The sequence below is a fragment of the Homo sapiens genome, chromosome 12 (assembly GCF_000001405.40).
Source record: "Homo sapiens chromosome 12, GRCh38.p14 Primary Assembly".
Lineage (NCBI taxonomy): Eukaryota > Metazoa > Chordata > Mammalia > Primates > Hominidae > Homo > Homo sapiens.
In genome coordinates this window covers 7,800,692-7,824,961 of record NC_000012.12, presented here as the reverse complement: position 1 = coordinate 7,824,961, position 24,270 = coordinate 7,800,692, and the positions used below count along the sequence as shown (strand labels likewise).

General features: G+C 44.9%; 1 protein-coding gene across 6 annotated transcripts in view, besides 5 other annotated features; it reads left to right on the top strand.

Annotated features, from left to right (window-relative positions):
* SLC2A14 (solute carrier family 2 member 14) overlaps positions 1-12,448 on the top strand; it is a 78,683-nt gene extending 66,235 nt beyond the window's left edge. For all 6 annotated transcript variants that reach the window (NM_001286237.2, NM_153449.4, NM_001286236.2 and 3 more), the window contains 4 exons: positions 3,637-3,741; positions 5,379-5,480; positions 6,928-7,131; positions 10,428-12,448. In NM_001286237.2, the coding sequence (NP_001273166.1) occupies positions 3,637-3,741; positions 5,379-5,480; positions 6,928-7,131; positions 10,428-10,646 (630 nt within the window). In that variant the 3' untranslated portion in view covers positions 10,647-12,448. The remainder of the gene's footprint in view (positions 1-3,636; positions 3,742-5,378; positions 5,481-6,927; positions 7,132-10,427) is intronic.
* Positions 16,662-17,161: an enhancer, noted in NCBI's record as "H3K27ac hESC enhancer chr12:7960397-7960896 (GRCh37/hg19 assembly coordinates)". NCBI's record gives its function as "activates a minimal SCP1, AML or CMV promoter by ChIP-STARR-seq in primed H9 embryonic stem cells {active_cell/tissue: H9 hESC(primed)}" and the evidence as "EXISTENCE:reporter gene assay evidence [ECO:0000049][PMID:30033119]".
* Positions 17,830-17,989: a silencer, noted in NCBI's record as "silent region_4204". NCBI's record gives its function as "represses an Ori minimal core promoter by ATAC-STARR-seq in GM12878 lymphoblastoid cells {active_cell/tissue: GM12878}" and the evidence as "EXISTENCE:reporter gene assay evidence [ECO:0000049][PMID:35858748]".
* Positions 19,128-19,647: an enhancer, noted in NCBI's record as "H3K27ac hESC enhancer chr12:7957911-7958430 (GRCh37/hg19 assembly coordinates)". NCBI's record gives its function as "activates a minimal SCP1, AML or CMV promoter by ChIP-STARR-seq in primed H9 embryonic stem cells {active_cell/tissue: H9 hESC(primed)}" and the evidence as "EXISTENCE:reporter gene assay evidence [ECO:0000049][PMID:30033119]".
* Positions 19,648-20,169: an enhancer, noted in NCBI's record as "H3K27ac hESC enhancer chr12:7957389-7957910 (GRCh37/hg19 assembly coordinates)". NCBI's record gives its function as "activates a minimal SCP1, AML or CMV promoter by ChIP-STARR-seq in primed H9 embryonic stem cells {active_cell/tissue: H9 hESC(primed)}" and the evidence as "EXISTENCE:reporter gene assay evidence [ECO:0000049][PMID:30033119]".
* Positions 22,664-23,165: an enhancer, noted in NCBI's record as "H3K4me1 hESC enhancer chr12:7954393-7954894 (GRCh37/hg19 assembly coordinates)". NCBI's record gives its function as "activates a minimal SCP1, AML or CMV promoter by ChIP-STARR-seq in primed H9 embryonic stem cells {active_cell/tissue: H9 hESC(primed)}" and the evidence as "EXISTENCE:reporter gene assay evidence [ECO:0000049][PMID:30033119]".

Genomic DNA, 24,270 nt, shown 5'->3' with positions numbered 1-24,270 from the left:
GCACTGTGGGAGGCTGAGGCTGGCAGATCACCTGAGATCAGGAGTTCGAGACCAGCCTGACCAACATGGCAAAAGCCTGTCTCTACTAAAAATATAAAAATTAGCCGGGCGTGGTGGATGCACCATCTAAAAATCAATCAATCAATCAATCAGTCTGATGCATAGCAGGCTTGGAAATCACTTTTCCAACCTACTTTTGTGCAAACAATGTATTCTTTTTTTTTTTTTTTTTTGAGACAGAGTCTCTGTCACCCCGGCTGGAGTGTAGTGGCACAATCTCGGCTCACTGCAACTTCCACCTCCTGGGTTCAAGTGATTCTCCTGCCTCAGCCTTCTGAGTAGCTGGGATTACAGGCGTGCACCACTTCGCCTGGCTAATTTTGTGTTTTTAGTAGAGACAGGGTTTTTCCAGGTTAGTCAGGCTGGTCTCGAACTCCTGACCTCAAGTGATCTGCCCGCCTATGCCTCCCAGAGTGCTGGGATTACAGGTGTGAGCCACCTCACCTGGCCCAAGAAGTTTTATTGAGATGTGTACATGTACATTAGGTTTTTGATGTGTAGACATTGTGATAAGGTAGATAATTGTGATAACTATTTATTGCTTGTTTAAACTGCTCAAGTAATTACTTTTGTACCAACCTAATATCTTTCCCCACAAGCTTGACGTCATCATATAATATGTTGAGGTTTTGTTTTGTTTTGTTTTGAGACAGAGTCTTACTCCGTTGCCCAGGCTGGAGTGCAGTGGCTCGATCTCGGCTCACTGCAACCTCTGCCTCCCAGGTTCAAGCAATTCTCCTGTCTCAGCCTCCTGAGTAGCTGGGACTACAGGCACCTGCCACCACACCCGGCTGATTTTTGTATTTTTAATAGAGACAGGGTTTCACCTTGTTGGTCAGCCTGGCCTTGAACTCCTGACCTCAGATGATCCACTCACCTCAGCCTCCCAATGTGCTGGGATTACAGTCGTGAGCAACTGCGCCTGGCCAATTATAATCTTATTTTAGAAAATATAAGTATACATAGTTTACATCTTACATCTTAGGGATTTAAATAGTTATTTCTTGAGAAGGTAAATCCCAATGTAGAGGTCCATATTATCAAAAAGACTAATAAATATTGCTATGGAGGCAACTACTCTGGGTGAAATAAACTGAAGTGAACCTGGGTAACCTAGATAATGTTCCCTTGTTAACTTGAGGTCTGAGTCCAATATTTCAATATTTCTTTTCTTTTTTTTTGAGACGGAGTTTCGCTCTTATTGCCCAGGCTGGGGTGCACTGGTGCGATCTCGGCTCACCGCAACCTCCACCTCCCGGGTTCAATTGATTCTCCTGCCTCAGCTTCCCGAGTAGCTGGGATTACAGGCATGCGCCACCATGCCCTACTAATTTTGTATTTTTAATAGAGACGGGGTTTCTCCATGTTGTCAGGGTGGTCTTGAACTCCAACCTAAGGTGATCTGCCCGCCTTGGCCTCCCAAATTGCTGGGATTAGAGGCGTGAGCCACTGCGCATGGCCAGTTTCTCATAGCTGTGATAGTTGTAGCAACCTTACTTTTTTTTTCTTTTTTTTTTTTGATATGGAGTCTCGCTCTGTTGCCCAGGCTAGAGTGCAGTGGCACAATCTCAGTTCACTGCAACCTCCACCTCCCAGGCTCAAGCGATTCTCCTGCCTCAGCCTCCCAAGCAGCTGGGATTATAGGTACCCACCACCACACCCAGCTAATTTTTTTATTTTTATTACAGACAGGGTTTCACCATGTTGGCTAGGCTGGTCTTGAACTCCTGACCTCAGGTTATCCACCAGCCTTGGGCTCCCAAATTGCTGGGATTACAGGAATGAACCACTGTGCTCGGCCAGCAACCTTACATTTTAGCGCAGTGCCTAGTAAATAACAAACATAGTAATTTATTTAATATATATTAAATTGCAATAGTAGCTGGTATTATTTCATAAAACACTTCAAAAGGGCCTAGGCCTAGGAAATACAGCCCAATCTCTGCTTATTCAAGGAGCAGGATAAGGTTATTCAATTAGTTCACTATCAAATTGAGACATCAATGTGCCTATCAGTGTTTTGAGGGTTTGGGGAAGAGTCAATTAAAAAAGCATTTAGCTGGGCCTGATGGCACATGCCTATAATCCCAGCAACTTGGGAGGCTGAGAGGCAGGAGGATCACTTGGAGACCAAGAGTTTAGGACCAGCCTGGGCAACATAGTGAGTTGCTGTCTCAACTTATAAAAAAGAAACCAGTTAGTAGGAATTACACTTTCTTTTTTTTTTTTTTTTGAGATGGAGTCTCGCTCTGTTGCCCAGGCTGGAGTGCAGTGGCACCATCTCGGCTCACTGCAAGCTCTGCCTCCCAGGTTCACGCCATTCTCCTGCCTCAGCCTCCCCAGTAGCTGGGACTACAGGCGCCCGCCACCACGCCTGGCTAATTTTGTTTTTGTATTTTTAGTAGAGACGGTTTCACCACGTTAGCCAGGATGGTCTCGATCTCCTGACCTCGTGATCTGCCCGCCTCGGCCTCCCAAAGTGCTGGGATTGCAGGCGTGAGCCACTGCACCCAGCCTACACCTTCATATAAGTTGGTGAAGTAGACATAAGCAAGAGGAAATGGAACAGTGGGAATAAGCATAGTTAGAAGCAACAATGGACATTAGTAGCTAAAATTGAGAACATTTAAAAAGAGAAAGGAGGGCGAGGTGCAGTGGCTCACGCCTGTAATCCTAGCGCTTTGGGAGGCTGAGGTGGGTGGATCACAAGGTCAGGAGTTCAAGACCAACCTGGCCAACATGGCGAAACCATGTCTCTACTAAAAAAATACAAAAATTGGCCAGGCGTGGTGGCTCACGCCTGTAATCCCAGCACTTTGGGAGGCCGAGGCGGGCGGATCATGAGGTCAGGAGATCAAGAACATCCTGGCTAACATGGTGAAACCCTGCCTCTACTAAAAATACAAAAAATTAGCCAGGCCTGGTGGCACATGCCTGTAATCCCAGCTACTTGGGAGGCTGAGGCAGGAGAATCGCTTGAACCCGGGAGGTAGAGGTTGCAGTGAGCCGAGATCGTGCCACTGCATTCCAGCCTGGGCAACAGAGAGAGACTCCATCTCAAAAAAAAAAAAAAAAAGAAAGAAATACAAAAATTAGCTGGGCGCGGTGGCAGGAGCCTGTAATCGTGCCACTGCACTCCAGCCTGGGTGACAGATTGAGACTCCGTCAAAAAAGAAAAAGAGAAAGGAGATAAGATTCAGAAGATAATTCAGGGATATTAGGATTGAACAAAAATTGTAGTAAAAGGACTTCTTACCTCCTGGGACTTTTAAGTATTTTTTAAATTTTATTTTATGGTGACAGAGTCTTGTTCTGTCTGGCCTCCCAAGTAGCTGGGACTACAGGTGTGTGCCACCATGCCTAGCTAATTTTTATATTTTTAGTAGAAACAGGGTTTCACCATATTGGCCAGGCTGGTCTCAAACTCCTGACCTCAGGCGATCTGCTTGCCTTGGCCTCCCAAAGTGCTGGGATTACAGGCCTGTGCAACCACGCTCAGCCTTAAGTATTTTTTGAGGGTTCTGTGTAAGTGGTGTGCAGAATTTTATCAAAGCTGCATGTTTTCTTTTCTCCTAGGTGTTCTATTACTCAACAGGAATCTTCAAGGATGCAGGTGTTCAACAGCCCATCTATGCCACCATCAGCGCGGGTGTGGTTAATACTATCTTCACTTTACTTTCTGTAAGTTGGATGGTTTGATAATTTTGGGGGGAGAAATGAATCCTTGCTACAGATGTTCAAAGATGGATTGCATGGCTCCACCGTTATTTAGTTACACCTTTTTTGTTATTTATTTTTATTTTTTTAAATTTTTTGAGACAGAGTCTTGCTCTGTTGCCCAGGCTGGAGTGCAGTGGTGCAATCTCGGCTCACTGCAACCTCAGCCTCCTGGGTTCAAGTGATTCTCCTGCCTCAGCCTTCCGAAGTAGCTCGGATACAGGTGTGCGCCACCACGCCCAACTCATTTTTGTATTTTTAGTAGAGACGGGGTTTCGCCATGTTGGCCAGGCTGGTCTTGAACTCCTGACCTCTGGTGATCCACCTGCCTAGGCCTCCCAAAGTACTGGGATTACAGGTGTGAGCCAGCGTGCCCGGACTGTTGTTTAATTTTCCTTTGGAAAAAAGAGATACATTCAATGCTGAATGTAGTCTTCATTCTTCAAGCAAATATGGATGGATGGGAAAAGAGGAAGTATAGAAGGGACTATACAGTATGTTTTGAACTTGGAATTGGAGGAGAGGTGTTTGGAAAAACTTTCAAACTGTTATTCCTCTGTTTTTACACTAAAACAACAATAATAACAGAAGATTTCTGTGACCCCCAAAATATATAAGGATTTGTCCCCATCAAGTAAGCAATCAGTTCCGTAGTGGACACTATCTAGGTGTCCTGTGATTTAATTCTGACACTACCTGGAGATAGCATCAGAGCTCACAGGTTGGTGGCCGATTTCCCAAGACTGCCCCCAACTCCTGATGCCAGTCACAAGCTCCAGGTTGTTTTACCTGTGCTTCTGACTCACCAGCTGTAGATCAGGATTCCCACGACATCCTCTTTGGGTTTGATTAATTTGCTACAGTGGCTCACAGTACTCAGGAAAATTGTTTCCTAGTTTGATTTAAAGGATATTTTAAAGCACAGAAATACACAACCAGATGAAGAGATTCACAGGGCGAGGTCTGGAGGGATCCTGAGCATGGGAGCTTCTGTCTCTGTGGGGTTGGGGTGCACTCCTAGCACATAGATGAGTTGTTGCTGACCTTCCTGTCAGCTTCCACGGGTTCAGATATCTGGAAGCTCCCCATACCCTACCTTTTGGGCCTTTTATGCAGACTTAATTGGTTCTCCATGATTGAAGCATGGACAACTGTTCTGACCTGTGATTGGACAAAAAGGGAATGATCTGAACCCAGCTGGGCCTGTCTGCTTAGATGATTTGTTGGCCTCTCTGTAGCGTTTCTTCCTCTAGGGTGTGGGGCAGGACCCTCTCTGAAATGAGGGTTTTATGACCCACAGTCAGATTAGCGTCCTGCCAAGTGGGAGGGCAGGAGAAAGTCAGAGAAGAATTCTGTTATCTGAGGCCTGCTCCTGAGGCCTGAAGCATCCCAACATTATGACAAAAGACTCTACCAAGGGCTATGGGGATTTTGAGCCAGGACCTGTGAATGGCACACAATATGTATGTATATAAAATCATAAATCACAGGAGGGGTATCCATAACAAGTGTCCTGCTGTTGGTAAGGCAGATTTCAAGTAGCTCAGATGCTGTTTTCATGGAAAGGAAAACTGAAGTTTCATGTCATATTCTTCTTCCAGCTATTTCTGGTGGAAAGGGCAGGAAGAAGGACTCTGCATATGATAGGCCTTGGAGGGATGGCTTTTTGTTCCACGCTCATGACTGTTTCTTTGTTATTAAAGGTAAGTGCTCTTTGGGTGAAAAAAAAGGGAGGGGGAAAGAAGAGAGGTTACAGTTGACTTCTGTGACACAAGGGGTGGGTTGTTAAGGTTGCAGTTTGTCAATAAAGTCAGAGGAGAGAAGCAAGATGCCCAGAGTTTTTAAGAAACATGGGTCATCAGAGAACTGGAGGTAAACTGTTAGAATCTTTACATTTAGAGAACATTATTATGGTTTATAAAATAAGTTATCTAATTTAATTCTTTTGTTTGTTTGTTTGTTTGTTTGAGACGGAGTTTTGCTCTTGTTGCCCAGGCTGGAGTGCAGTGGTGCAATCTCAGCTCACCACAACCTCTACCTCCTGGGTTCAAGTGATTCTCCTGCATCAGCCTCCCGAGTAGCTGTGATTACAGGCATGCACCTCCACGCCCAGCTAATTTTTTATTTTTAGTAGAGACAGGGTTTCTCCATGTTGGTCAGACTGGTCTCGAACTCCCAACCTCAGGTGATCCACCTGCCTCAGCCTCCCAAAGTGCTGGGATTACAGGCATGAGCCACTGTGCCCTGCCTAATTTAATTCTTAAAATAATATCAAGGTAATCACACTTTATGGATGATGACGGGGTCTCAGTACAAAGTGACATATATGAGATCACATAGATGGGATTCAAAAATCCAAGCCTGGCTGGGTGCAGTGCTTCATTCCTGTCATCTTAACACTTTGGGAGGCCAAGGTGAGAGGATTGCTTGAGCCCAGAAGTTCAAGACCAGCCTAGGCAACATGGCAAGAAACTGTCTCTAAAAAAAAAAAAAGTATTTTTTTGTTTTTGTTTTTTGTTTTTTGAGACAGGGTCTTGCTGTGTCACCCAGTTGGGAGTGCAATGTCGCCATCTTGGCTCACTGCAATCTCTGCCTCCCAGGCTTCATTGATTCTCCTGCCTCAGCCTCCCTGGTAGCTGGGATTACAGGCATGCGCCACCACACCCAGCTAATTTTTGTGTTTTTTAGTAGAGACAGGGTTTCACCATGTTGGCCAGGCTGGTCTCCAACTCCTGACCTCAAATAATCCACTCACTTCACCCTCCCAAAGTGCTGGGACTATAGGCGTGAGCCACAGTGCCCAGCCAAAAAAACAACGAAAACCTTTTGTTTAATTAGCCAGGTGTGGTGGCACATGCCTCAAGTCCCAGCTATTTGAGAGGCTGAGGTGGGAGGATTGCTTAAGCCCAGGAGGTCGATGATGCAGTGAGCTGTTATAGCACCACTGCACTCTAGCCTGGGCAACAGAGTAAGACCCCGTCTCAAAAAATAAATATAAAAATAAAAATAAATCCAAGCCTTTTGATTCCACAGCCACTCTTTGTATTGTACGTCAGGACAGGAGGAGCTTGCCATTAGTTGCCTCTGGGAACCTAGATCCTGGGTTACACTGTCTTTAAATTTAATCTTCTGTGTTCCTTCCTCTTACAGAATCACTATAATGGGATGAGCTTTGTCTGTATTGGGGCTATCTTGGTCTTTGTGGCCTGTTTTGAAATTGGACCAGGCCCCATTCCCTGGTTTATTGTGGCCGAACTCTTCAGCCAGGGCCCCCGCCCAGCTGCGATGGCAGTGGCCGGCTGCTCCAACTGGACCTCCAACTTCCTAGTCGGATTGCTCTTCCCCTCTGCTGCTGTAAGTAAACTCACCTTATCTATGTATCTATGTATCTATCTATGTATCTGTCTATCTATCTATCTATCTATCTATCTATATATATATATATTTTTGAGACTGAGTCTCGCCCTGGTGTGCAGTTGCCCGATCTCAGCTCACTGACAAGCGATTCTTCTGCCTCAGCCTCCTGAGTAGCTGGGACTACAGGCACCCGCCACCGTGCCCAGCTAATTTTTGTATGTTTAGTAGAGATGGGGTTTCCCCATGTTGGCCAGGATGGTCATGATCTCTTGACCTGGTAATCTGCCCGCCTTGGCCTCCCAAAGTGCTGGGATTACAGGCGTGAGCCACCATGCCCGGCCAACTCACCTTATCTTAAAACCAGCCTACGTAGGCTGACATATTGAAGATACACCTTAATAATACAGTAGTCAGGCTGGGCGAGGTGGCTCACTCCTGTAATCCCAGCACTTTGGGCGGCTGAGGCAGGCAGATCACCTGAGGTCGGGAGGTAGAGACCACTCTGACCAACATGGAGAAACCCTGTCTCTACTAAAAATGCAAAATTAGCCGGGCATGGTGGCGCATGCCTGTAATCCAAACTACTTGGGAGGCTGAGGCAGGAGAATCGCTTGAGCCCAGGAGGCAGAGGTTGCGGTGAGCTGAGATCGGGCCATTGCACTCCAGCCTGGGCAACAAGACAGAAACTCCGTCTCAAAAAATATATATAATAATAATAGTAATACAGTAGTCCCTCCTCATCTGCAGTTTCAGTTACCTGCAGTCTAAAAATATTAAATGGAAAATTCCAGAAATAAACAAATCATAAGTTTTAAATTGCACCCGGGAGCAGTGGCTCAAAGCCGGTAATCCTAGGACTTTGGGAGGTGGAGGTGGGCGGATCACTTGCAGTCAAGAGTTCGAGATTAGCCTGACCATCTGGTGAAACACCATCTCTGCTAAACATACAAAAATTAGCCAGGCGTGGTGGCACAAACCTGTAGTCCTAGCTACTCGGGAGGCTGAGGCAGGAGAATCGCTTGAAACCAGGAGGTGGAGTTCGTGGTGAGCCAAGATCTTGCCATGACACTCCAGCCTGGGTGACAGAGCTAGACTCCATCTCAAAAACAAAACAAAACAATTTACGAATAGAGACAGGGGCTTGCTATGTTGGCCAGGCTGGTCTCAAACTCCTGGGTTCAAGTGATCCTCCCACCTCAGCCTCCCAAAGTGCTGGGATTACAGGCAGGCACCATGGTGCCCAGTTTAAGAATATATCTTTTGTCCATAAAATTGTGAAGAAGAAAAAAGAAGATGGGTGAGATGGCTCACGCCTGTAATCCCAGCACTTTGGGAGGCTGAGGTGGGAGGATCATGAGGTCAGGAGTTCGAGACCAGCCTGGCCAATATCGAGAAACCCCGTCTCTACTAAAAATTCAAGAAATGGCCGGGCGCGGTGGCTCACGCCTGTAATCCCAGCACTTTGGGAGGCCGAGGCGGGTGGATCATGAGGTCAGGAGATCGAGACCATCCTGGCTAACAAGGTGAAACCCCGTCTCTACTAAAAATACAAAAAATTAGCCGGGAGCGGTGGCGGGCGCCTGTAGTCCCAGCTACTCGGGAGGCTGAGGCAGGAGAATGGCGTGAACCCGGGAAGCGGAGCTTGCAGTGAGCCGAGATTGCGCCACTGCAGTCCGCAGTCCGGCCTGGGCGACAGAGCGAGACTCCGTCTCAAAAAAAATAAAAAAAATAAAAAAAATAAAAAATAAAAATTCAAGAAATTAGCTGGGTGTGGTGGCAGGCGCCTGTAATCTCAGGTACTTGGGAGGCTGAGGCAGGAGAATTGCTTGAACATGGGAGGCAGAGGTTGCAGTGAGCCAAGCTTGCACCATTGCACTCAAGCCTGGGCAATAAGAGCAAAACTCCATCTCAAAAACAAAAACAAAAACAAAAAAACAAAAAAAAACAAAACTGGCCAGGCACGGTGGCTCACACCTGTAATCCCAGCACTTTGGGAGACCAAGGCGAGAGGATCACCTGAGGTTGGGAGTGCAAGACCAGCCTGACCAACATGGAAAATCCCCACCTCTACTAAAAATACAAAATTTGCCAGGTTTGGTGGTGCATACCTGTAATCCCAGCTACTCAGGAGGCTGAGGCAGGAGAATCGCTTGAACCTGGGAGGCGGAGGATGCTGTGAGCGGAGCTCATGCCATTGCACTCCAGCCTGGGCAACAAGAGCGAAACTCCGTCTCAAAAAAAACAAAACAAAACAAAACTGGATAACTGGGGACTACTGTAATTACTGACGCTATGAAAGATTAGACATCAAAGGCTATAAACCAGATTTTCAACAATACATAGAAAAAAAATGACGGCAGAAAAGATTGAAATGGGATGGCAAAACTGGGAACCATTCATTTTTTATTATTTGAGACGGAGTCTCACTTTGTTGCCCACGGTGGAATGCAGTGGCTCACTCTCGGCTCACTGCAACCTCTGCCTCCTGGGATCAAGTGGTTCTCTTGCCTCAGCCTCCTGAGTAGCTAGGATTACAGGCACGTGCCACCACTCCCAGCAATTTTTTTTTTTGTATTTTTAGTAGAGACGGGGTTTTGCCATGTTGGCCAGGCTGGTCTCAAACTCCTGGCCTCAAGGGATCCACCTGCCTCAGCCTCTAAAAGTGCTGGGATTACAGGCATGAGCCACCACACCCAGCTCAGCAACACAGATTTTAAAAATAATACTCAAGGCCAGGTGCAGTGGCTCACGCCTGTAATCCCAGCACTTTGGGAGGCCAAGGCAGGCAGATTACAAGGTCAGGAGTTTGAGACCAGCCTGGCCAATATGGTGAAACCCCATCTCTGCTAAAAATACAAAAATTAGCCAGGCGTGCTGGTGGGCACCTGTAGTCCCAGCTACTCAGGAGGCTGAGACAGGAGAATCGCTTGAACCCAAGAGGAGGAGGTTGCAGTGAGCCGAGATCCTGCCATTGCGCTCCAGCCTGGGTGACAGAGTGAGACTCCATCTCCAAATAATAATAATAATAATAATACTCAAAAGTCCAAAAATACTCAGTAGACATTTGGAAGCATCTAACTTTAATGAAAAAAAATGACAGAAAGAAAAATACAGAGAAATATAGTAAGTTAGCAATAGAATCATAAGTAAATCTCTGAAGAAACCTTTATGTTTTCATTAAATATGGAAGGGTTATAGCTTGAAGCCTATTGGAAATATGAATGTGAAGGAAATTGTATTTGTCAATGACCAGATTTTTATATCAACCTTCCTTTTTTCTGTCCTTTCACTAGTACTATTTAGGAGCCTACGTTTTTATTATCTTCACCGGCTTCCTCATTACCTTCTTGGCCTTTACCTTCTTCAAAGTCCCTGAGACCCGTGGCAGGACTTTTGAGGATATCACACGGGCCTTTGAAGGGCAGGCACACGGTGCAGATAGATCTGGGAAGGACGGCGTCATGGGGATGAACAGCATCGAGCCTGCTAAGGAGACCACCACCAATGTCTAAGTCATGCCTCCTTCCACCTCCCTCCCGGCATGGGAAAGCCACCTCTCCCTCAACAAGGGAGAGACTTTATCAGGATGAACCCAGGACTGCTTCTGAATGCTGCTACTTGATTTCTTTCTCATCCCACGCACTCCATGAGCACCCCAAGGCTGCAGTTTGTTGGATCTTCAATGGCTTTTTAAATTTTATTTCCTGGACATCCTCTTCTGCTTAGGAGAGACCGAGTGAACCTACCTTCATTTCAGGAGGGATTGGCCGCTTGGCACATGACAACTTTGCCAGCTTTTCCTCCCTTGGGTTCTGATATTGCCGCACTAGAGGATATAGGAGAGGAAAAGTAAGGTGCAGTTGCCCCAACCTCAGACTTACCAGGAAGCAGATACATATGAGTGTGGAAGCCGGAGGGTGTTTATGTAAGAGCACCTTCCTCACTTCCATACAGCTCTACGCGGCAAATTAACTTGAGTTTTATTTATCTTATCCTCTGGTTTAATTACATAAATATTTATTTTTTAAGTGTAATTTTGCCAAATAATAAAAACAGAAGGAAATTGAGATTAGAGGGAGGTGTTTAAAGAGAGGTTATAGAGTAAAAGATTTGATGCTGGAGAGGTTAAGGTGCAATAAGAATTCAGGGAGAAATGTTGTTCATTATTGGAGGGTAAATGATGTGGTGCCTGAGGTCTGTACATTACCTCTTAACAATTTCTGTCCTTCAGATGGAAACTCTTTGATTTCTCAGAAAAGTTGTATGCCTATTTAATAAAGCTACTCATTTCCTTTGGAACTTTATCTTTAAGATAATAGTTTACATGTAGTAGTACTTGAAATCTAGGATTATTAACTAATATGGGCATTGTAGTTAATGGCGGTTGATGGGTTCTAATTTTGGATGGAGTCCAGGGAAGAGAAAGTGATTTCTAGAAAGCCTGTTCCCCTCACTGGACGAAATAACTCCTTGTAGTAGTCTCATTACTTTTGAAGTAATCCCGCCACCTATCTAGTGGGAGAGCCATCCAAATGAGAAACCTAAAATAATTGGTTCTTGGTAGAGATTCATTATTTCTCCACTTTGTTCTTTAGGAGATTTTAGGTGTTGATTTTCTGTTTTATTTTAACTCATACCTTTAAAGGAATTCCCCAAAGAATGTTTACAGCAAACTTGGAATTTGTAACCTCAGCTCTGGGAGAGGATTTTTTTCTGAGCGATTATTATCTAAAGTGTGTTGTTGCTTTAGGCTCACGGCACGCTTGCGTATGTCTGTTACCATGTCACTGTGGTCCTATGCCGAATGCCCTCAGGGGACTTGAATCTTTCCAATAAACCAGGTTTAGACAGTATGAGTCAATGTGCAGTGCAGCCCACACTTGAGAGGATGAATGTATGTGCACTGTCACTTTGCTCTGGGTGGAAGTATGTTATTGTTGACTTATTTTCTCTGTGTTTGTTCCTACAGCCCCTTTTTCATATGTTGCTCAGTCTCCCTTTCCCTTCTTGGTGCTTACACATCTCAGACCCTTTAGCCAAACCCTTGCCAGTGACAGTATTTTGGTTCTCAGTTCTCACTGTTCCCTCTGCTCCTGGAGCCTTTGAATAAAAATGCACGTAGCTATGGAGTGGGGTTTAGCTGGAAAGGTGGCCTTCCAACTTCACGTCAACTTCTGGCTCCTCAGTTTGGCAGTAAGGCAGGGAAGTTGTTTTCCTATTTCTCACTGAGAAGATTGTGAATATTTCCATATGGATTTTCCATTATTGTTTGTTTGATTCTTTGTTTTAAAATAAAAATTCTGAATGTACATGACATCACAAGCACATTATTTATTTATTTTTTGCCGTTCCTGTAACAACAAAATCAGCTTTAAATCCTGAGTTGGCTACTCAGTACCTGTTGTGACCTTGAGACTTGTATGAGACTCTGTTCTTAGAGTCTCATACATAAGAGAATAGCAATATTTGGCCGGGCCCGGTGGCTCATGTCTGTAATCCCAGCACTTTGGGAGGCAAAGGAGGGCGGATCACCTGAGATCGGGAGTTTGGGACCACCTGGCCAATATGGTGAAACCCTGTCTGTACTAAAAATACAAAAATTAGCCTGGCGTGGTGGCAGGTGCCTATAATCCCAGCTACTTGGGAGGCTGAGGCAGGAGAATCGCTTGAACCCAGGAGGCAGAGGTTGCAGTGAGCCAAGATTGCGCCATTGCACTCCAGCCTGGGGGACGAGAGTGAGACTTTGTCTCAAAAAAAAAAAGAGAATAGCAATATGTGTTTATTATGCAGATTAAGTGAAAAAGCCTTCGTGCCTTGCTTTTCATACTTGATGAATTATGTTGCTTTCTTTCCCCAGTGAGAACTAGTTTTTTTTTTTTTCTGTTTTTCTCGTGTTCCTTTCCACTTCCTTCCTCCTCCAGTCTTTGCTCTCTACAATTCATCCCACACTGCTGTCAGGGCATCCATGTGACATACAGCAGTCCCTTGCCATCCCCAGGGGACTGGTTCCCAGACCCCTTCTTAGATAACAAAATTCAGGGATACTCAAGTCCCTTATATAAAATGCATATAGTCTGGGTGCAGTGGCTTATGCCTGTAATCCCAGAACTTTGCGAGGCCAAGACGGGCAGATCACGAGGTCAAGAGATCCAGACCATCTTGGCCAACATGGTGAAACCCCATCTCTACTAAAAATACAAAACTTAGCTGGGTGTGGTGGCATGCACCTGTAGTCCCAGTTACTCAGGAGGCTGAGGCAGGAGAATCCTTTGAACCTGGGAGGCGGAGTTTGCAGTGAGCTGAGATCACGCCACTGCACTCCAGCCTGGTGACAGAGCAAGACTTGGTCTCAAAAAAAAATGCATATAATTATTATTGTGATGATTTAAATGCAAATAATCTATGCACATCATCTCATGCACTTTAAATCATCTCTAGATTACTTTTAATACCTAATACAATGTAAATAATTGTTAAACTGTATTGTTTTTTATAGTTGTATTGTCTTTTTTCCCAAATATTTTCCATCTGTAGTTCTTTGCATCTGCAGATACAGAAGTCGGACTGTATATCACTATCCTACTTAAAATCCTTCGGCCGGGCGCAGTGGCTCACACCTGTAATCCCAGCAATTTGGGAGGCTGAGGCGGGCGGATCACAAGGTCAGGAGATCGAGACCATCCTGGCTAACACGGTGAAACCCCGTCTCTACTAAAAATACAAAAAAAAAATTAGTGGGGCATGCGGCGGGCGCCTGTAGTCCCAGCTACTCAGGAGGCTGAGGCAGGAGAATGGAGTGAACCCGGGAGGCGGAGCTTGCAGTGAGCCGAGATCGTGCCACTGCACTCCAGCCTGGGCGACAGAGGGAGAGTCCATCTCAAAAAACAAAAGAAAACAAGCCGGGCATGGTGGCACATGCCTGTAGTCCCAGCTACTTGGGAGGTTGAGGTGGGAGAATCACCTGAGTCCAGGCGATTGAGTCTGCAATGAGCCAAGATCGCACCACTGCACTCCAGCCTGAGTGACAGAGTCCCTATCTCAAAAAACAAAAAAAGTATATTATACTAAAATTTGTCTTCCCAAGGATTATAATTGTTTTTTATCGGAGGAGGGGAACAGGATATCACTGTATTGCCCGGGCTATTCTCCTGGGCTCAAGCAACTGTCCGGCTTCAGCCTCCTGACTAGCTTGGACTTCAGATTCGAGCGACCAAGCCTTTCACATTACAATTGTTTTTTTAATTAATTAACTATTTATTTATTTGAGATGGAGTCTTTCTCAGTTGCCCAGGCTGCAGTGCAATGGTGTGATCTCGGCTCACTGCAACCTTAGTCTTCAGGGATCAAGTAATTCTCCCGCCTCAGCCTCCCCAGTAGCTGGGAGTACAGGCACACACTGTCATGCCTGGCTATTTTTGTAGTATTGTAGAGACGGGGTTTCACCATGTTGGCCAGGCTGGTCTTGAACACCTGAGCTCAACTGATCCGCCCACCTCGGCCTCCCAAAGTGCTGGGATTACAGGCGTGAGCCACCGCGCCCGGCCAATTGTTTTTTTATTATTGAAAGGTAGGAACACTGAGAAAAGCAGGGAAAGAGTAGGACCTTCCTGGTAGGAGCAGAAACCCATAAACTTAGACAGGGTAAAGCCTGATAAATCCTACAGTCAGGCCAGGGGCAGTGGCTCACGCCTGTAATCCCAGCATTTTGAGAGGCCAAGGTGGACGGATCACTTGTGCCCAGGAGTTCTAGAGCAGCCTGGCTCACATGGAAAAACCTCATCTCTACTAAAAACACAAAAATTAGCAGAGTGCGGTGGCATGTGCCTGTAATCCCAGCTACTTGGGAGGCCGAGACAGGAGAATCGCTTGAACCTGGGAGGCGGAGGTTGCTTTGAGCCGAGATCGCACCATTGCACTCCAGTCTGGGCAACAGTTGGGAGACTCCATCTCAAAAAAAAAAATTAGCTGGGCATGGTGGTGCACACCTATAATCCCAGCTACTCGGGAGGCTGAGGTGGGAGGACTGCTTGAACCCAGGAGTTGGAGGCTGCAGTGAACCATGATAGCACCACTGTACTCCAGCCTGGGAGAAGACAAAAAAAGAGTACACTAAGTTTGGACCGGCCCATGTAGCTCATGCCTATAATCCCAGCTCTTTGGAAGGCCAGGGCAGAACAATAGCTTGAGGCCAGGTGTTCAAGGACAGCCTGGACAATGTAACAAGACCCCAGTCTCTACAAAAATAAATTTAAAAAAATTTTATTTCATAAAAACAATTAGCCAGGTGTGGTGGTGCATATCTGAAATTCTAGCCACTGGAGAGGCTGAGGCAGGGGGATCACTTGAGCTCAGGAGTTCGAGGCTGAGGTGAGCTATGATCGATCCACTGCACTCCAGCCTGGGTGACACAGCCAGACACTGTCTCAAAAAAAAATAAAAAATAAAAAATAAAAAATAAATGCTCATGTAAATGTAAACTGAAAAAAAGTAAAAAATAAAAATAAGTAATGTTAAAAATAAAATGATTGACCAGGCGCGGTGGCTCACGCCTGTAATCCCAGCACTTTGGGAGGCCGAGGCGGGCAGAACACAAGGTCAGGAGATCAAGACCATCCTGACTAACACGGTGAGACCCCGTCTCTACTAAAAATACAAAAAAAATTAGCCGGGCGTGATGGCGGGTGCCTGTAGTCCCAGCTACTTGGGAGGCTGTGGCAGGAGAATGGCAGGAACCCAGGAGACAGAGCTTGCAGTGAGCCAAGATCACGCCACTGCACTCCAGCCTGGGCGACAGATCAAGACTCTGTCTCAAAAAAAAAAAAAAAAAAAAGATTAAAAAAAATGAATGTATTCCTCATTCCTCCACAGCTCAGGTGACAGAAAACTGAAATCTATTTTTTTTTTTTTTTTTTTTTTTTTGGTGATGGTGCTGGGGAATGAACCCAGGGCCGTGTGCAGAAAGCTGAAATTTTATGGCTGGAAGTGCCCAAAACCAACAGAGCAGTTTGAAATTAGGAGTGAATTGGCTGGGCACGGTGGCTCACACCTGTAATCCCAGCACTTTGGGAGGCCGAGGCAGGTGGATGGTGAGGTCAAGAGATCAAGACCATCCTGGCTAGCACGGTGAAACCCCATCTCTACTAAAAAATACAAAAAAATTTTAGCCGGGTGTGGTGGCGGACGCCTGTAGTCCCAGCTACTTGGGAGGCTGAGGCAGGAGAATGGCATGAACCCAGGAGGCAGAGCTTCCAGTGAGCCGAGATCATGGCACTGCACTCCAGCCTAGGCGACAGAGCGAGACTCCGTCTCAAAAAAAAAAAAAAAAAAATAGGAGTGAATCCTACCAAAAACAACTAAAAAGGGGGGAAAAAAAACCATAGAGAAAGTCATTCCTAAAAGTCTGATCATATTTTCTGCCCAAATTCCTGACTGACCAGCGAATTTTGCAAGCACAGGTGTCTCCAGGCCAAAAAGCAGCAGATGAAGACCCTAGAGCAGGATAGAGAGATCAGCTGTTGCTCGTTGCTGGGAAGATAACGTTTTTGCCTACTAGAACAAAAATACAAAATGCCCAGAAGAACACAAGAGAATCCAGAGTTTCTACAACATAATATTTGCAACATCAAGCTTTCAATCCAAAATGACTAGCTCACGTCATCCCCCACAAGTGTTGGGCTGTGAACTACTCCTAAAGACTGGCAGTAGATCCCAGGAGCCTACCTCCCTGGTGCCATGTTGCTGGATGTCCCGCACCTGTCCCATACTGTAGCTGTGCTAGATGTTCTGATTCTAATAAACTCTGAATTTTCCTCAGCTAACGCATGATCTTGACCATGAATCTCCACAAGGATCTCTTATAAACTGTGAGGGAAGCTGAAGCCAATCCTATGACTCCGACACTCTGTTCAGCTTGCCTTCTGTTAGTCTTTGTTCAACCGTGGCCCTGTTCATACACACCTGCGGGCTTGCTACCCAATTTTCTAAAGCTAAATAGGTGACAAAAGAGAAAGAGAGGCCGGGCACAGTGGCTCACGCCTGTAATCCCAGCACTCTGGGAGGGCGAGGTGGGCGGATCACGAGGTCAGGAGATTGAGACCATCCTGGCCAACATGGTGAAACCCCGTCTCTACTAAAAAATACAAAAATTAAAAATTAGCTGGGCATGGTGGCGGCGCCTATAATCCCAGCTACTTCCCAGCTACTCAGGAGGCTGAGGCAGGAGAATCGCTTGAACCCGGGAGACGGAGGTTGCAGTGAGCCAAGATCACACCATTGCACTCCAGCCTCAGCGACTGAGCAAGACTCTGTCTCAAAAAAAAAAAAAAAAAGATGAAAGAGACTGATACACTTTTAGTTAAACTCCACAGCAACAGATTTCTTTTTTCCAATGTCCTCAGCAAATTTGTATCTTCATTACAATATCTAAACACACTCTTCCAAGAACATTTCCATGTCTGCCTGCTGGCTTAGTTTATAACCACTATGAATCACTTGTAAAAGCAGTGTCACTTATTCTGCTAAGGTTTTCAATCCATTTTTTTTTCCCTAGGGCCTCCAGTTTATTCCATTTAGAGGAACTTCTACTTCATCAAGTACATCTGAGTATATCTGATCCATCATTCTCAATTGATTTCTATCTTGAACCACATGTAATTGAAGAATATGTCTGGGCATCCATTCCCTTGTCCCTGAACATGTGATGGTTAAGGAAAGTTCCCTATCATTGTAAAACAGTTGGGAGATTGGTGAGCCCAGTGCCACGGTAGACCACTAGAGGGGGGTGTGACTCTCTCAGTGAGCTTAACATTGACTTAATGGCTTTGCCCAAAGAGGGACAGTCTAATCTGTGTTTCAAAAGCAAGAGTTCCAGTATTCTAGCATGTCCTAAAGGTATCAGTACAAGTACTTGAGTTATTTTCATATTTCAAAAATGTTCACGGAAATGTTACTTTTACTAGCAATTATTTAGTTCCATAGAGGCTACTCTTATGCTTTCCAAATAGATTTATCTATTATTTTTGTCAGATATGTTCTAAAAATAGAGGAAAAGCAAAAAATGCCTCCTAATTTTATTTCCTAGAGATAACTATTACTTTTATTTCTATATCTGTATCTATCTTTCCACACTTAATTTATCTCCATATATGACATGAATGGGATCACAACCTATAAACGAATCTGCTCTTTTACCTTAATAATGGAATTTTCCCATACATTTAAATCTGCTTCATCCTTTTTGTTTTTGTTTTGTTTTGTTTTGAGACAGGGTCTCACTCTGTTGCCCAGACTGGAGTGCAGTGGCTCAATCTCAGCTCACTGCAACCTCCGTCTCCCGGGTTCAAGCAATTTTCCTGCCTCAGCCTGCCAAGTAGCTGAGATACAGGCACTCGGCCAGCATGCCGAGCTTATTTTTGTATTTTTAGTAGAGACGGGGTTTTGCCATGTTGGTCAGGCTGGTCTCAAACTCCTGACTTTGTGATCCACCAGACTCAGACTCCCAAAGTGCTGGGATGACAGGCATGAACCACTGCACTTGGCCATCTTTTTTGTTTTTTATGGCTACATAAGTACTCCAATATATCATAACACATTTAAGGAAAGTCCTATTGATATACATTTAGATTTAAAAAAATATTTTTGGCCGGGCGCAGTGGCTCACACCTATAATTCCAGCACTTTGGGAGGCCGAGGTGGGCAAATCACCAGGTCAAGAGATCGAGACCATCCTGGCCAACACAGTGAAACCCCGTCTCTACTAAAAATACAAAAATTAGCTGGCTTTGGTGGTGCGCAACTGTAGTCCCAGCTACTCACGAAGCTGAGGCAGAATTGCTTGAGCCCGGGAGGTGGAGGTTGCAGTGAGCCGAGATCGTGCCACTGCACTCCAGCCTGGTGACAGATTGAGACTTCGCCTCAAAAATAATAAATAAATAAAAATAAAAATAAAAAATTGTTTAGCTATTACCAACAGTGCTGTAATGAGTATCTTTATGTGGTTGTTTGATTAATGCCTTGGCATACAGTCCTAGGGGGTGTATCAAAGGATGATCACATTTTACATTGCCATGCAGGTAACTGACATTAATTGTATATGTTCTATGAGCTAGACAAAATACATATTAGATGACAGAAATCACTTCAAGTATTATTTCTATTTACACAAAAGGGAAGACCTAAAAGCCTGCAAAATAATTTGCCCAAGGTCATAATGGTGGAGCTGAGATTTTAATGTGTGTATTTTCTTTTCTTTTTTCTTTTTTTTGAAACAGAGTTTCACACCTATCTCCCTGGCTGGAATGCAGTGGCATGATCTAGGCTGATTGCAGCCTCTGCCTCCTGGGTTCAATCAAGTGATTCTTCTGACTCAGCTTCCCGAATAGCTGAGACCACAGGCATGCACCACCACGCCCGGCTAATGTTTGTATTTTTTTGTAGAGATTGGATTTTGCCATGTTGGCCAGGCTGGTCTTGAACTTCTGGCCTCAAGTGATCCACCCGCCTAGGCCTCCCAAAATGCTGGGACTACAGGTGTGAGCAACCTCTCACGGCCTATTGTTTTTTGATTGTTTGTTTTTTGAGACAGCGTCTTTCTCTGTCGCTCAGGCTGGAGTGCAGTGGCACAATCACAGCTCGCTGCAGCCTCAACCATCAGGCTCAATTGATTCTCCCTCCTCAGCTTCCCAAGCAGCTGGGACTACAGGCAAGCACCACTGTGTCCAGCTAATTTGTTTTATTTTTTGTAGAGATGGGAATTTGCTATGTTGCCCAGCCTTGTCTAGAACTCCCGGGCTCAAGTGATCTTCCCACCTCAGCCTCTCAAATTGCTGGGACTACAGGTGTGAGCCATGGCACCCAGCTTTCATGTAACCTAGAATGAAGCAGGACTCTATCAACTTTCCCCCAAACTGAGAATTGTTACTTTTATTTCCTAAATAATTTATTATTTATCTATTCATCTGAAATGTAAATTTTGGGCGTATGTTTTTATCCTCCCAGAAAATGTTTGTATCTATGTGACTTATATTTTTTAATTCAAATAGAATAAATCATTCATATGGTTTTGTGCCTTGTTTTTCTTTTTTTTTTTTTTTTTTTTTGAGACAGAACCTTGCTCTTGTCATCTAGGCTGGAGTGAGTGTAGTGGCTTGGTTTCTGCTCACTACAACCTCCACCTCCTGGATTGAAGCGATTCTCCTGCCTCAGCCTCCCAAGTAGCTGGGATTACAGGTGCCCACCACCACGCCCGGCTACTTTTTGTATTTTTAATAGAGACAGGGTTTCGCCATGTTGGCCAGGCTGGTCTTGAACTCCTGACCTCGCGATCTGCCCAGCTTAGCCTCCCAAAGTGCTGGGATTACAGGCGTGAGCCACTGCTCCCGGCCTGTTTTTCTAACTAATAATATAGTGATCTAAACTAGAATTCTTAATCAAATATGCAGTTTCTATATATATTTGGTAGTCTTCCTGGACTCTCTACCTTGTAAAATTGATTTAGTTGTAGCTGTACTAGAGCAGATATACACTGGTTGCTGTAGCAGAAACTATTCGTTTTCCATTCACATACAATTATCTTAACTTCTTCTGAAGGCCATGTCTTTTAGTTAGGAGGTAAATCTTTTTATTTTATTTTATTACTATTTTTTTAGAGACAGGGTCTCCCTCTGTCACCCAGGCTGGAGTGCAGTGGTGCGGTCATAGCTCATTGCAGCCTCAAACTCCTGAGCTCAGGCAATCCTCTAGCTTCAGCCTCCTGACTGGCTAGGACCAAAGGCACGCACCATCACACCTGGCTAAGTTTTTAAATTTTTCTGTAGACATGGAGTTTTACTATGTTGACCAGGCTGGTGTCAAACTCCTGGCCTCAAGTGTTCCTTCAGCCTCGGCCCCCAAAATACTGGGATAACAGATGTATGCCACTATACCCAGCGGTGGGAGGCAAATTGTAATGATCTCATTCGCTTTGCCAAATTGTTAGTTTAATCATGGGCTTATGTCAATTTTGGATAATATGTGAGGAGAAGTCACAGAAAGACTTCTGAGATTTTTCTGGATTTTCAATTGTCTGCACATAAAGTCAATATCTGCAACTACCCTTAATTATAGCAATACCAGCGATCAGTTCTGATCTCTAAATATTATTCCTTGCTAAAAGTAACTAATGCTTCTTGGAGAAATGGCCAATTCTAGAAGAATGTGTAAAATGGGCTGACAACCAATTGCACAAAAACAACAACAAAAACAAAATTAGCTGGGCGTGGTGGCGGGCACCTGTAATCCCAGCTACTTGGGAGGCTAAGGCAGGAGAATCACTTGAACCTGGGAGACAGAGGTTGCAGTGAGCCGAGATTACACCACTGCACTCCAGCCTTCCAGACAGGAGCGAGACTCCATCTAAAAAGAAAAAAAAGCCGGGCCAGTGGCTCACGCCTGTAATCCCAGCACTTTGGGAGGCCGAGGCGGGCAGATCACGAGGTCAGGAGATTGAGACCATCCTGGCTAACATGGTGAAACCCCGTCTCTACTAAAAATACAAAAAATTAGCCAGGTGTGGTGGTGCATGCCTATAATTCCAGCTACTCAGGAGGCTGAGGCAGGAGAATCACTTGAACCTGGAAGGTGGAGGTTGCAGTGAGCAGAGATCACGCCACTGCACTCCAGCCTGGGCAACAGAGCCAGACTCCGTCGCAAAACAAACAAACAAACAAAAGCAAACAAAAAAATCCATAATCTCTAACATAACTGTTGAAGAAGGAAAAAAAAACTCCAAAAATAATTTTGATTAGGGTGGTATACTTGAGCCAGGAACAGTGGCTTATGTCTGTAATCTCAAAACTTTGGGAGGCCAAGGCAGGTGGATTGCTTGAAGCCAGCTGGGATTACAGGCGCCCGCCACCATGCCCAGCTAATTTTTTTGTGTTTTTAGTAGAGAAGGGGTTTCACCACATAGGCCAGGTTGGTCCTGGACTCCCTGACCTCAAGTGATCCACCCACCTTGACCTCCCAAAGTTCTAGGATTACAGACATGAGCCACCACATCCGGCTATGAAATCATTCTTTGATCATCTCCTTACTTCTGTCATATGTAACACACTGTTTCCCAATGAATCCTAATCTAGGCCCTTATAAATAGGCATAATCATTAAAATAGACTAATCTCTGGTCTTGCTCCCTTCCAATACCTTCCCGTAGTACAGGGAGAACAATCTAAAATGCAAATCTAAGTATGTTACTCCTTAAAGCTTTTAAAGGCTCATATTTTGCCTATCCTATTTTAGTGTTTCTCTAGTATACCGTCTTATGCTACCATCCTTTCTCCCTTTTTTTTTTTGAGACCCCATCTCTACTAAAAATACAAAAATTAGCTGGGTGTGGTGGCACATACCTGTAATCCCAGCTACTCGGGAGGCTGAGGTAGAATTGCTTGAACCCAGGAGGCAGAGGTTGCAGTGAGCCACTACACTCCAGCCTGAGAGACAGAAAAAGAGTCCATCTCAAAAAAAAAAAAAAAAAAGCTGGGCATGGTGGCTCATTCCTGCAATCCCAGCACTTTGGGAGGCTGAGGCAGGCAGATCACGAAATCAGGAGTTGGAGACCAGCCTGACCAACACGGTGAAACCCTGCCTCTACTGAAAATACAAAAATTAGCCAGGCATGGTGGCGTGTGCCTGTAGTCCCAGCTACTTGGGAGTCTGAGGCAGAATTGCTTGAACCTGGGAGGCAGAGGTTGCAGTGAGCCGAGATTGCGCCACTGCACTCCAGCCTGGGTGACACAGCGAGACTCTGTCTCAAAAAATAAAATAAAATAAAGAAAAATAAAGATTAGCTTCAAGGCTAACAGAGTATCTTCCTATTGTAGCCTGAGCTCTCAGAAGCTAGAAGAGGGCTTGAGTGCAGAGTGCAGCATATTAGAGAGCACACTCATTAAGAAAACAAAAACAAAAGAACAAAAAACAAACAAACAAGAGTCTTCATCTGTCACACAGGCTCACTGCAGTCTCAAAATCATGGGCTCAAGGGATCACCCTGCCTCAGCCTCCAAAGTAGCTAGAACTACAGGTGTGCACGAGCATAACTGGCTACTTTTTTTTTTTTTTGTATTTTTTCTAGAGCTGGGGTCTCACTATGCTGCCCAGGCTGGTCTCAAACTCCTGGGCTCAAGCAATCCACCTGTCTCAGCTTCCCAAAGTGTTGGGATTACAGGTGCGAGCTGCCACACCCCGCCTATAGCATGCACTCTTGATTTTCTGAGAAACGATCAACAAAGTTTAACCCTGCTACTGCCTAAGCTCTCAAAGTGTCTGTCAAACTCTTGAGTTTATATGTATTTTTGAAGTTCAGTAGTTGAGGTCAAAACACCCACCTTTGGGGTTGGATCTGATCGAATTTGATGTTAACATTCTTGAGGGAAGCTTGAGTTCACTCCCAAGTTCTCACATATGGTGTCTGATAAGACATCAGACTCGAAGGAAGAGGGGAGTTCATTCCACATCAAACTATGTAACTTTCTGGGGTTATTGCAAAGCTATATAACATAATGCAACAGAGAGCAACATCTGGGGCTTTGGAGTCAAGCAATTAAGGGCTTGAATCCAGATTTTACCACATACAACCAGTACCACCTTTGGCATGTTGCTTAAGCTTTTAGCTTTTTTCTTCTATAAAAATTATTACCGAGGCCAGATGCAGTGGCTCATGCTTGTAATCTCAGCACTTTGAGAGGCCCAGGCGAGAGGGTCACTTGAGCCCAGGAATTCAAGACTAGCCTGGGCAACATAGCAAGAGCCCTGTCTCTACAAAAAAGATTTTAAAAATTGGCTGAGTGTGGCAGTGTGCACCTATAGCCCCAGCTACTGAGGAGGTTGAGGCGGAAGGATCATTTGAGCCTAGGAGATTGAGGCTGCAGTGAGCCATGAATGCACCACTGCACTCCAGTCTGGGTAACAGGGTTTTTAATTTTTTTAATTTAAATTTAAAATTTAATTTTTAATTTAAATTTTAGTTTAAAAGTTAAAATTCAAATTTTAAATTTAAATCAAAATTTAAACATATAATGTGGCTGGGTGGGGTGGCTCATGCCTGTAACTCCAACACTTTCAGAGGCCGAGGCACGTGGATCACCTGTGGTCAGGAGGAGTT